At 37.0% G+C, this 14,186-nt stretch overlaps 1 protein-coding gene across 9 annotated transcripts in view; it reads right to left on the bottom strand.

Annotated features, from left to right (window-relative positions):
• The window catches only part of NKAIN2 (sodium/potassium transporting ATPase interacting 2), a 1,021,776-nt gene continuing 1,008,380 nt past the window's right edge, over positions 791-14,186 (bottom strand). For 6 of the 9 annotated variants that reach the window (NM_001300737.2, NM_001300738.2, NM_001040214.3 and 3 more), the window contains 2 exons: positions 7,963-8,044; positions 791-3,211 (listed from right to left, as the gene is read on the bottom strand). In NM_001300737.2, the coding sequence (NP_001287666.1) occupies positions 3,202-3,211; positions 7,963-8,044 (92 nt within the window). In that variant the 3' untranslated portion in view covers positions 791-3,201. Of the gene's footprint in view, positions 3,212-7,256; positions 7,346-7,962; positions 8,045-14,186 lie in introns of all 9 variants that reach the window. The other 3 variants (XR_007059213.1, XR_007059215.1, XR_007059214.1) reach the window with 1 other exon arrangement.

Raw genomic sequence — 14,186 nt, 5'->3', positions numbered from 1 at the left:
GCCGCTGAGATGTCAAGGACTACAAGTTGATCTTCAGCCTCTTAAAATATGGCCTCGAAGCCTTTCATGTCTTCAGTCAACTCCAGCATTTTGACTGATGGGAGCTGGTGTGTGTTTGTGTGCAGTGGGAGAGAGGACACAATCCCGAACCTGACACAGCCTGTGCTTGGAGCAGCCTGCGCCTGCTGCCCTCAATCATTTAGGTATATACAATGAACCTCACCTGAAACAATGTTTGTACAATCGCTAATGCCAGTGGCTAATCCTTCCTATTTGCCTGCTTTATCTCAACACTGTCATCTGTTGAGGTGAATATCAATATTCAAACAACAATAACAAAAGATCCTGTCATCAAAGTGGAAATAAATGAGTATTTTAGATTATTTTAAATAATTTGGCCTATAAAAATAAAAAAAAAGCTCTGCCTATAATTTAACCAAGATTTTTAAATGTAGTGACCTAACCCTCTGCCAACTATTAATTAGCTTGATGCTAACTCTAAATCCCAGATAGAAGGTGGGGGTGGAGGAAGGTTCCCCAAATGAAAAGTCTATTGCAGGCAGTCTTCTAAAAGAACCCTCAGTGTTAGCAGATAATGAAAGTACGTGTTACCTATGACTGAGTAGAAATGATGCCATGACCCGGCAATTTCTTTTCACTGCTGACACATCCCTGCACTGCACAAAATATCAGTGTTGCCTTCATGTAAATTTAATAGGGTGTCTCTGTCAATGACATAAGCAAATACACCATGAGAAGCAGCAGGGGTTTTCAGGGATGGCTCAGAAACTTAAGTATTTTTCCATTTATTTTTAAAATGCAAATTACACTAGTAAGTCAAAAAAATCATTCTGTTAAAAATACATTCAGAATTAACAAATGCAAAAAAAAAGGACACATCAGGATCATAACCCTTGCCTTCTGAATATTAAGTTTATAACAAAAGCTCAGCCTAGAAAAATAGCATTCTTCACCGGATTTTGAGGAGGATACAGCTGTACAACTGTAGATGTTTTCCCAGATATAATCACACTACTGTGCTTACTGATCCCATAAATGACCTGTCCACTGATTACTTTTTAGTAGTCAACTACTGTTTTTTAAAATTTTGGTGGTGATGATAGTTGTGATTTGGTGAAAACTTGGCTGTAACTTAAAGCAGGAATATGAGGGTTTATTTTCTGTACCCATATACATGTACTATAAGGTGAAATCGCATCACAGCATGAATGTACAGTGAAACCTCATTTTTAATAGTCACATTAAAAGTCACATTAGAATAGTTTCTGGCATGTATAGTATTTATATTTTAGGACTCAAAGGACAATACATTGGTAAATATTTTTCTCATACATTAAACATGCATGTCACTATAAAAGCGTCATATGAGGTTTCACTGACATGTTTGCAATTGTTTATTTTATACATGTATGTATGGACAAACATACAACCCACTGAGGAAATTCAAGCATGAGTGCTGGAATCTTTTTTTATAGTTTATGTTCCAATGATAACTCTTTGTTCCTCTATCATTTTCAAATGTATATGTGTGTGTATATTACAGACATCCATGCAAACACAGTAATGGAACTGGTGTATGTAGATCCGAATGGGCTAAGGTCTAAAGTAGTTTAATCCAATAACTGAAACTTCATAGAAATCAAAGAAAAAACTTGCTCCATGCCAATTTATAACTTTTGAATTTCACTGCACTAAAGAATGGTGTGTTAGTTTTAAAAAATTGAGTTTAATGTCTCAGGTGTATCCAAGAAAAAATATGACTCATCTGAGTTCCTGATAAGCCTGAGCTAATTATGTTTTCCACTAATGAAAACCAAATAATGCTTTAAAATATAGAACAAAATTTCCTAGGAGTTCAGAATATTCCATAAACACATTGACCTACTATTAAGTTTCCAAAGGCATCTTGTTGCCAACTACGTTAACAGCACAGTTTTTCTGCCACAATAATACAGGAGGGTTGAAATACACTCTAACACACAACAGATCCCCCAAATACCACAAAAAGATCTCAAATATTTCACCAAGGTAACTATTGCTCCCCCCACCCACCCAAAAATAATCTTGTACACTGAAGTTAGAAAAAAAAGTTCACCTACGTAGAGTCTTCAATTTGAATTAGATATAAAAGAGTAAACATAGCTAATACATATTCAGTTGGCCTCTGTTGATAGAAATCCACAGCTGTTTCTGTGTTAGTAAAAGACAATTGTAGATACTTATAAAAGCACCTAGAGTGCAATAAATAAAATCAGCGAGTTAAGCCATTTCTGCTTTCTGCTTCCAGTAGATTAGTGAGTTTAGTAGATTAATGTTTTACTCTGTCCCACCCCCAACCCCATCAGAAGACCATATTTTAGAATTATAAAGATGACAGATATTGTTATTGTTACTTGTCTCTTTTGGGCCACCATGGAGGCTCTATGGTAAAGCACTTTGCTGACAGCTGGCACTTTTCTTATACAGACACACTGGAGCTGCTGAGCTATTCAGTCTTGTTCCTTGACATGAAACACACAGGCTTGAACTCATTTAGAATTAATAGCAGTGTGTTAGCCTAAAGGAAGTGGCTTGGGGCTGTCTGCACTGGGATTCTTGGGCACACAATGTAGGTGGGTTAAGGCAAGTATGTACGGTACAGCCTTTAGGGCAAACAATCTGCCATTTCGGACTTCGGGTACAAGGTCATCATGGCATGTTTCGTTTGTTTTTGCAATTACATTGCCTAAGTAGCCGTGGTGCTGTCAAGATGTATGGAGTGCAGAAGACAGAGCTCTCAAACTAATGTGCCTTGGATGACTTCCCAGCTCACAGAGGCCAACCCGCTGGGCTGCAGAGGAGTTAGCAATGGCCGGCAACCGTTGGGCATCAACACATCTCCTTCTGAACTTTCCGAAGGCCTGGGAGAAAGGGGCCTGCTTTCAGGAAATCCAAGATGGGCGTGTCCTGCATATTTGTCTGTTTCAGTTAGAAAGAGGAGGTCAAGTGGAATTGGTGTGTGCGTGCTCACGTGTGTGTGTGTGTGTGTGTCAGTGTTGTATGTAGAGGCTTTGCATTTGTTTTGTTAATACGTGTATGTATTTAAACTCAGTTGCTTCTTGCTCTTCATGAAATGCAGGAGGCCACTGCGAAAAAAGTTCTTTGAAAGGTCCATGGGCTGACATACTGAAGTCATCTGTATTATTTTGACCTGAGAGAGAGAAAAGATGTTTTTAGTCAAGGGGGAAAGTGACAGGTGCCTGCTGCTCACCACCTTTTCTCACCTTTCCAAGCACAAGAGCAAACAAACAAACAAACAAAAAAGAAGCCCAAATTGGGTTTTAAATAGATAATTTTCCTCCTTTTCTTTTTATTCATGGCAATTGCAGGGATAGAGAGGCCAGTTTTGGTCATTTAGAATCTATTTCCAGGGACAACTGAAATGAATATGTACTTCTGTACAATTAGGCTGCCAAAAAGAATGCAATGTTTACAAATGTTGTGTGATATATTATAGGATATTCTTATATTGCTGGAAGCCCAATCAGATCTCTACTTGCTCTGACAGTCACATAGGTCTCTGGTAGTCAAAGCAGCTATTTTGTTAAAAACTTAAGCTGTAGACACGGGATTTTTTTTTTTTAGACAAAGTCTAGCTCTGTTGCCGGGGCTGGAGCACGCAGACATGGGATTTTTTTTGTGCAGCAACTTTGTTGTTATTGATTTGTTTCAACAACATGTACCAAACTTTAAGAAAAATATAATTAAAATCTTTCCTTTTTAGGTTAGTTATACATCATCTGAAAAATTACAAACCAAGAACAGTCACCCAACTTAAGAGGACTGTCTATTCATTGTTTGCAGGAACTGAAACACAGCTGTGACTGTAGGTCAGTTACAGCAGTGTTTTCAAAGCTTTGTCCAGGATCTTGGCCACAGAAGATTTGCTGGGAACAGTGGGAGCCCCACAGCTAAAAATGCCTATTGCTTTTCAACATTTGTTTTCCTTCCAAGGAAGAGCTTGTGTTTCCATTTGCTATATAATATTTTTAGGGTGTTTGGACTGGCCCCTGAAGTTAAATTACTCTTACTTTACAAGACATATTTATGGCAGGTTGACAGAAGGTACACTCTAAATGATAAAGACATAGGAGATGCTAAGTTCTCTGCCTCTCAGTAGGGGATGAGGTTTATAGGTGTGTCAGTTTTGGTTTTTCACTAGATTTGAATAAGCAGTGGCTCTCAGATGATTGGTCTTGTGGGCTATGAAGTTGAAAAGGCCCTTCATTTAACAGTGCGTAATGTAAAATAAAAAAGAAATAAACAGAATGCAGAAAAGGGAGAGAGGCACAGCCATGTATGGAAATGTGGCAGCTAAGTTAGTGTTAAGAATACAAACAAGCAAATTAAAAATCAGAATGTAATACCAGGTCAAACTCACAGTCTGTCTAAGAATTTGGAAAGAACACTAACTGAAGGGGTCAGGAAAACCCGTTGATAATCATGGCTGCACCAGTAACAAGTTGTGTGACTTTTGTTTTCCTTTTATTGGGTTGAGTTTCCTCGTCTGTAAAATAAAACCTTACTGTTCTAGGATCCGAGGTCTCCTATGGGATGTTTTGTGGAAGGAATGATTGGAGTATTTTGACTAGTAATTTTTAAATGTACCTTAAGTATACATAACTTCCTAAATTTGAATTCCATTAAACATTTACTTATTTCATGACCAGTGAGACTTGAAATCTCTGATACAATTTTACCACTCTCATGCAGTAAAGAGGAAAACAATATATTTTTTATAACTTTTAGTTGGCATTTAAAGTGCTCTGTTTAACAAAATCATAAGTTTTGTCCTTATGCAATTTAATTCTGGACAAAGATATCTATCTTTGTAGAGTCTCTTCTTTAAAGCCCATTAGAATTATAAATGCTTGATTTGAATTTAATATATTAAATTGTATATAATTAGCATTCTCATGTTTATCTTTAGATGAGAGATTACCTCTAATTTATTACAGCTTGATCATATTTATTGGTCACTCATATTGGCCAATACAGTAAAATATTATGTAATATTATTAGTAGCAAGCAATTACAAACCTTGTAGATATTTTATTCTCCTTTTTTTTTTTTTTTGAGACAGAGCCTCACTTTGTTAACCAGGCTGGAGTGCAGTGGCACGATCTTTGCTCACTGCAACCTCCACCTCCCAGGTTCCAGAGATTCTCCTGCCTCAGCCTCCCGAGTAACTGGGATTACAGGCGTGCACCACCATGCCTGGCTAATTTTTGTATTTTTAGTAGAGATGGAGTTTCGCCATGTTGGCCAGGCTGCTCTCGAACTCCTGACCTCAGGTGATCCACCTGTCTCGGCCTCCCAAAGTGCTAGGATTACAGGCATGAATCACTGTGCCTAGCCATATTCTACTCTTGAGCATAAATATAGTATTACATGTTACTTGAGCTGATGTTATATGTCAGCAGTCCTCAACCTTTTTGGTACCAGAGACTGGTTTTGTGGAAGACAATTTTCCCATAGACCAGGGTTGGGGGGAATGGTTTCAGGATGAAACTGTTCCACCTCAGATCATCAGGCATTAGATTCTCATAAGGATCACAAAACCTAGATCCCTCACACATGCAGTTCACAATAAGGTTCACACTGCTATGAGAATCTAATACTGCTGCTTATCAGACAGGAGGCAGAGCTTAGGCAGTAATGTTCCCTCACCTGCTGCTCACCTCCTGCTCTGTGCTCAGCTCCTAACAGACCATGGGCCAGGACTATTCACGGCCCAGGGGACCGCTGTTATATATAATATACCATTTACAGAGGAGATCTTTTAGGAATGACTTGCAGTGTATGTTACTTCTGACTTGATACAGCCTTTTCATGAGTGATGTTGATTAACACAAGCATTATTCTACCACTAATGAATTATGTTTATTAAGCACTTACTATGTGACATATCCTACGTTTCATGTGCTTTATATATATTCTTTCATATAATTTCAGAGCAATCAGATAAAGTCTGTATGCGATCTCTATTTTGCAGGTGAGGAAACTTAGGCTTGGTAAAATTAAATAGAGTTATTCAAACAAAGTTACATGCCCACGGTCGGAGGGAATTTAATCTCAGACAGTATGCCTTCAGTAGGTCGTCTTAACCACTAGTCCTGATTGCCTTTTTAAATAGAACACTTTATAGAATGTTACATAAAATATTGAGAAGAATGGTAAAGAGTGTGAAGGATTGATCATGTTTTGTTGTTGTAGCTATCAAGAATCTTTCTGGGGGGATAGGGAAGGAAGGTATGGCATGCATAGCAAACAACTGTAGTACATGGGGAAAGAAATAAAAGAAATATTAGAGGAGAAAAGATTAACAAATGTTTCATAAAGGAATATATCTTAAGAAAATTCAAAGGATAGTGGGGTTTCAAAGAGTGGAATTTGGAAAAAAGATGATGTTTGTTGTCAAGAGAACAGCATGAATTGGAAAAATACATATCATATTTGGATAAGGCAAGAAAAAAATGGCTAAGGGGAGCTATCAGACTGTTTATGCTCTCAATAGATTATAAACTTCAGGAGGACAGGGCTAGTTCTTATTCATTACTACATTTTCCTAATATCTCCAGTGTCATCTGCATATGGTTGGGACTCAAACATTATTAAGAGTTGAAGAGAAGAGATACTGTTTCAACAGTAGGTAATAGGGACTCCTTGATAGCTTTGAAGTAGGGAAGTGAAATCATCAGCGCAGTACTTTAGGAAGATTAATTTGGCAGCCATATGGAGGATACAATGGAGGTTCTGAAATAAGGAAGAGACCGAAAAACTTAACAGGTCATACTTGCATGAATTAGTGCAGTCGTTGTGAGGATGTAAAAGAGGAAATGTGTAATACAGTGTTTACAGAAGCAATGCTTTGAATGAAGCAACATACTGGTTGATTTCTGAACTGCTAAAGTCTGTTTTATGGGTGCTATTAGCAAATGATTTCAGAGAACTACAAGTGACACAAAGAAAAAGGCAGGCACGGTGCAAGATTATTCTTTTTTTAAAGAGAAGCTTAAAAAGGGGATGTTTAAAGATTAATTTCTTTGGAGGAGCAATACTTACTCCCAAACTCCATTTATTATCCTACACACTAAAGATATTAAAAGGTAAAATGATTCAATGGTGGAGGACAACGACAACAAACACATATCTTCAAAGAGAAGTTCACATTTTAAAATGAATTGGAATCTTACTTTCTATTTTGATCTTCGCTTGCAATTCAGCATATCACTTGATGCTGATATATAGAATTTGTTATCAGTTGTTATCCAAGGGAATTTGCCTAAACACAGATATAAAAATCAGGCTCTGATTGTATGTCTGCTCTCCTGAGTGCTAGAGTTAAGGGTTCGATAAATTTCAGTGTTAATGTTCCAGTTCATTTTCACTTTTACATCAGAAAAATGATAGAGAAAGTGTATTACTCAGTTTTTTATTTTCTTAACACTACATATAACTAGGGTGAACCTATTATTTATCATCTAAATGAGAACTCTTTTGAGAGTAATAATTATGCCAGGACAACCACTGTAAACTGAAACCAGAACATATGGTTTATATATAATTATATATAACTGCCTACATTATATCATTTTCAAAAAATACAACTTTTTGGCAACTCAAAGAAGTGGTAGATAATTAACATAGGCTTTTGAGCCATGTAGGTGATACTTATGTAAGACTAAATATAACTTTAGAAATGGCATTTCTTATAAGTCAAATAAGAAAAATTCATGGAAAAATGTTATTAAAATTATCCCAGCCAAGACAATATTAATAGAAAAAATACTGGAAAAATATAACTGAACAAAAGCTGCATGCCATCAATTTTGTATCGTGATACAGTTACTTGATTATCTTTAGTACCCCAGAAGAGTACCTTCCAAGTAAAATACTTACATGTACATAGGCTGTAGTTGTAAATGAGATGTCTTCTGAGGCCCTTGATAGCCATAAGAGTCAAAGCCACCTATGAAATCAACTGAAAAGGGACAATTCATTAATTAGCTTTTCAGAAGAGATATACATCCATGATCAAGCACCCACACAGATTACTAATAAACCTTTTATTAGTAATAATCTATTAAACTTCTAAAAGTAACTAATTGTGAAGAAAAAAGAAATGGAAGAAATGATAGTTCCTTCAAGGTAGTGATTCCGCTGCCCCCCTCCCCCACTGCTCATTGTAAGATTCAATTATTGCCTTACAAGAATTTATTCACTTGGTAGAAAAAATGATGTACTATTTTCAAACAACCAAGACCTAATTGGAGTAATAGAATTCATCTACACAATAGAGATGCTATATGCCTTTTTGGTTAGTGTAGATTTTCTGTGACATGCTACAAAATGTTACAGCATATAAATATAAATAATGACCACTCAAGTGCATGTATCTATGAGCAATTGCAGCACTAGTAATAATATTACATGTTATGGTTACCAAGCGCAAGGTACTATGGTGGAGGTCATGTAAATTAACTCAACATTGCTGTCCCTGCCAAATGTGGTTTACCATCTTAAACAATCAGAGGTAAACATGTGGAACAGTCTAACCAAATATTCAAATTCAATACATACTTAGCAATGTAAGATACAATAAGATATAATAAGAGTTACTGTGGCAGATTATATTTTCCAAAATGGCGGTAAGAGTATCTCCTATTTTATATGTTTTTACAATGTGACTTTGACCTTCCTCCCATACAATGGTTTGAGTATGTCTCTTCCTCTTGAACATGGGCAGACATTTCTGGCAGCTTTGACTATGCTATAAATGACACTATGGGGCTTCTAAGGTCAGACCATAAAAGTGTCATGCACTTTTATCTTGCTCTTTTGGGATGTTCTCTCTTGGAACACAGCCATGATGCCACAAGGAAGCCCAAGCTAGCCCGCATGGAGAGATCAATGAAGGACCAATGGATAAGTGTTTCAGTAACAGTATAACTAATGTATCAGCTGATAGCCAGCATCCAAATCCAGGTGTGGGAAATAAAATACCTTTCAATCGGGGTGTCCAGTCTTTTGGCTTCCCTGGGCCACATTAGAAGAAGAAGAATTGTCTTGGGTCACACATAAAATACACTGATACTAACGATAGCTGGTGAGCCAAAAAAAAAAATGCCAAAAAATCTCATAATGTTTTAAGAAAATTTACAAATTTGTTTTAGGATGTATTCAAAGCTGTCCTGGGCTGCATGTAGCCTGTGGGCTGTGGGTCAAACAAGTGTCCCTTAAATGATTCTAGACCCTCACTGTTGAGTCAGCTCAGTCTTGGAATCTTTTCAGCTCAGGTTTCTGACATCAGAGAACAGAGACAAGCCATCCCCTCTGTGCCTGTCTGAGTTATTAACCCACAGAGCCTATGAGCGTAATAAATGGTTGCTTTATACCACTAAGTTTTGGCAGCAATGGTAACTGGAACAGTCAATTCTAAAAGTACTGTGAAAAAGTTTAGTTTTTGTTTTTTCTTTTTCATTTGTGAATAAAGAGGTTTTAGAGTGGGGATAAAAGAAACAAAAGAACACAAGGCCAACAAGATAAGAGGAAGGAGAAAGAAAGTCAAATAGAGACAATCAAAATGCCCTAGGACACCCATTACTTCTTTCCTAGCATCTCCTTCTATTGGCTTACTTTTTTCTAGTTATTCTCTTATTAATATTTGGGGTGCTACAGATAGAAACTGGAGCAGGGTGCAAAGTAACATAAAGTCCGTGATGTCTGTGTAGTGGGGAAATCCTTTGTTTTCTCTTAGAAAAAAACTTTATTTTTTTAGAGCAGTTTTAGGTTCACAGAAAAATGGAGCAGAAAGTACAGATAATTCCTGTATATTTCCTGCCCCCACACAAACACAACATCCTCCACTATGAATAGCCTACACTAGAATGGTACATTTATTACAATCAGTGAACCTACATTGACACATCATCATCATCCAAAGTCCATAGTTTACATTAATGTTTATTCTTGGTGTTGTACATTCTATGGGTTTTGATAAATGCGTGACATGTATCTACCATTAGAGTACCGTAACAGTTTCGCTGCCCTAAAATTCCCCTGTGCTCCTCCTAATCATCCTTTCCTCCCCCAACCCCCGGCAATCACTGATCTTTTTACTGTCTTTATAATTTTGCCTTCTACAGAATGTCATGTCACTGGACTCATATAGCATGTAGCCCTTTCTGGCTGGCTTCTTTCACCTAGTAATATGCATGTAAGATTCCACCAGGACTTTTCATGGCTTGATACTGCATTTCTTTTTTGCATGGGAAACCCTTTTACCAAGGCAGAATGTCTCTTCTCTTCCAAAGTGGAATGGCATAATGACAAAAACAGAGACCCTGATATTAGAAGGACCAGGGTTTAATTCTGCTTTTCCCTTTGCCAGCTATGTGACCTTGGATAAACAACTTAACATCTCTTAAAATAGGAGTTATCATATTTATCGCATATAATTGGTATGAGGATAAAATAAGGAGAGTGTAGAGTCCTGGATGAGACATATGGTGTAAAAGAAGAAAATTAAGAGCCCCTCAAAAAATTCAAAATTTCTTTATAATTCTAAGCCATGCAGCATAGCAGAAAGAGAAGACAGAAAATTCTTAATTTGGGACAACTATAGAACTATAGCAAGTATTTTACAGGAGATGGATCAAAAGAGTGTGATCCTCTTTTGTCTTCTACATTGCCTCTTTTGTCTTCTACATTGTACCTTAGCTAATATAAACAGTACCAGAAGAACTGTGTAATAATTACACAGTGACTCTATTTAAAGTTTGCACTTAAAAAAATTATTGGCTGGGTGCCGTGGCTCACGCCTGTAATCCCAGCACTGTGGGAGGCTGAGGCAGATGGGTCACCTAAGGTCAGCAGTTGAAGACCAGCCTGGCCAACATGGTGAAACCCCGTCTCTACTAAAAATACAAAAATTAACTGGGCATGGTGGTGCGTGTCTGTAATCCCAGCTACTCGGGAGGCTCAGGAGTATTGCTTGAACACCAGAGGCAGAAGTTTCAATGAGCAGAGATCATGCCATTGCACTCCAGCTGGGTGACAGGAGGGAAACTCCGTCTCAAATATATACATATATACATATATATACACATATATATATACATATATACATATATATATATATATGTATATATATAGTTTAAGACTGGGGATTTTTTGCAGATAGTGTCTAAATTCCTGTTTATCTGGATGGGCTCTTGTTGACAATGAGACTAAATTAAGGACTAGTTTTCTAAGAGGTATTTACCGAGTTAGAGCTTCACTGCTCTGAGCTTCCCTCTTAGTAGGATGGTCTCTACCATGGTGGTGGAGAGTGGGTTACAATAGATCAAGATCAGGGCAGACAAAAACAGTAAGGTCTCCACTGAAATTGAGATCCAAGTCAAACTCAGGTTTATTAGTATTTTTATTGCTGCTGCTGCTGTTGTTATTATTATTGAGTTTGTTTTGAAATATTTAATTAACTTGATTACAGGGATTTAGGAGGGATGGCAGAAAAAAAATAGATGATAATTATGAACCAAAGATCTTCGGGTGAACCAAGGGATAATGTGAAGAAAACAAGATGAATCTTCAAGTCCAATGGATAGAATTAGGACCAAAAATGGACAGCAAAGCTTGAGTCAGAAGCCATGTAGACCTTCCAAAGACACAAGAAAAGGCCAGGAGGGAAATGAGGGTGTCCTGAGCCTGTGATGCGAATGGAGCTTGAGTGGCCTGGGGCTTGCTCTTATTAACCATGATCTGTATGCTGTGTAGGTAGAGAGAGATGGCTTACAACCCTCAGATTAGGGAGGACGGCACTAAAGCTCTGATGGAAGGACTGTGATCATTCTGATTATTCGGACCATGCTGATGGCCTGGGTATGGAAGAAGTTCCAACAGAGGGTGACCCAGAACCAAGATGAGAAAAGAAGCAGCTCTGAATGTAACCAGGCTGGATTTTTACCATTTCACTCATGAGGGGGCATTCAAATTTAAATCAGAAGTAGAGGGCATATTTTCTGTAGTTTATTTTACCTACATGCTTGAGTTCACAGCCAAGGAGACAGTGTACAGTCAATTTCCATGTGCACTTCTTCTCAGAAATTGTTTGGATGTCTTCCTAAAGACCTCAGGGAGAAGAATAGGCATCAACTGGATCCAACCAACCATTACAGTTAAGATTATGGGGGTCAGCACAGAGAGACTTGATTCTTCTCACCTTTTATGGAAGGGTTCTTCAACCACATATGGAACTTTTTGGGGTGCCATGTAGATAGAGAGGTAGAGGTATTTTTTCCTTCTCAAAAATTGAATTACTGGGGTTAGCTTACATTTTTAAGATACCCATAATACCATCTTTTTCTGTTTTCAGTTTCTTTTATATAATGACATTTATTCAGGCTCTAAAGAGACTACTGCATATTCTAAAACTTCTCTGAGCAATAAGGGTCATAAAACATTTGACAGATCTTTGTCCAGGTAATTTTGATGGCAGCTAGATGTTTGGGTCGTAGTTTATCTCTGCATTATTTAGAAAAGAGTAACTTCTATCTATCAAGAATCTCCTTATATCCTTAAAAATAAACTAAATTCCCCAAATTACAAAATACTTAATAGTTCCTGAAGCCCTTTCAAGTGATATCATTTATCTTCACAAAATTACTTTGAGATTGGTAGGAATAATTATCTTAATTTTACAAATCAGTACAGATTTATAGAGTTTTATCTTGAGTCACACAACATCTGAGGATGAGAGTAGAAACCAGGTATTCTATTTCCTTTGTATGTATATTGAAAAAGATATTTCTGCATTTGACTGATGCCATTCTAGTACATTTTTGGAACGTTATCAACAGTGATCAAAAGCATCAAATCACATTTTTATGTACTTTCTAAATTATTAATTTAACAAAAGTCTTAAGTTCTTGCTTTGAGTTCCTTATTGGTTGTAGATTCCTCCTTCTGTTATTTGTTCTCCAGCATCTTTTACTCTGTTCTTTCTAGAAAATTTGCTCTTTATGTTCTTCCCATCTAATACTGTAAGGATCTACAGTATTAGATTCTTCTTTGATCTAATACTGTAGAAATATTTGGATGTAAACAATAACTTATCAGAAACTACCTTTGCTGAATTTGCCAGTGATAGTTGCCAATGTGGTATTTCGGGGCTTTTTTGTAATGTATCTTTAAGAGGGTAGCATCCTTCAAGATTTAGTTCATGTGCTTCATGTCTGATAATTTATGCAGGACACCAAATAAGTATTTAAGCAGTCCTTTCTTCTGAAAATTATTTATATTCTCATCCCCATCTTGTATGACTGATAACAACGATGTTTTTTTAAAGTTATGAGAGATGTTTTCTTTCATGCGACTTGGCATATTGTCTGTGTAATTTCAATGCTTAACAGAAAATGTGAAAGACAGACAGGAATTACTAAAAGCCTGAATTAGAATTAGGAGAATGAGGAAGGAAAGATGTCAATGAATTTGAGATGAATGGACAAAGAGGTAGAAAACATAGTTCATGGCAAGTTTTTGAACATGGGGGAAAGGGAGGAAAAGAAAAGGTTCAAAGTTGATTCTCAGAAATTTGTTTGCCAGGGGCATATTGCTGCTTTTAAAGAAAAAAAAAAGGTCAAAAGGGAGTTGGTGTTTGGCTTTCTTTTGGAAATGTAGTATTTAAGTTATAAGTAGTACATCTAAGTGAAGAGACGCTTGGGAAAAGGGAAATGTAACTCTAATTAGTGCAAGGGAAATTGGGGACTTGCTGGGATGTTAGAGATGAATTTCTTTCTCCTCACTCAGCTTTATTTTGCTTCATTGCAACCTATTTCTACCTGATGTATAAATCTGCTTGTTTATTTGTTGATTTCCTCCACTACTATAATACAAGCTACATGAGATTTACTGTTTTCTACTGTTTACTACATTAGCCTCAGAACCCAGAACAGTGTCTGGCTCACGGAAGACACTCAATAGGTATTTACCAAATAAACTCTTAGACCCTTTAGGCTGTAAAGGAAAATAAGGCAATTGATTGGAGCACAGAAGATGCTAGTAAAACTTCCAAGTGAAATTTGGCTGACTGCCAAGGCCTTGAATGATAATAAAGAGAAGACTTT

This window comes from Homo sapiens, chromosome 6 (genome assembly GCF_000001405.40).
Source record: "Homo sapiens chromosome 6, GRCh38.p14 Primary Assembly".
NCBI lineage: Eukaryota > Metazoa > Chordata > Mammalia > Primates > Hominidae > Homo > Homo sapiens.
The sequence above is the reverse complement of the archived record's forward strand: the minus strand, read 5'-3'. Positions and strand labels throughout refer to the sequence as shown.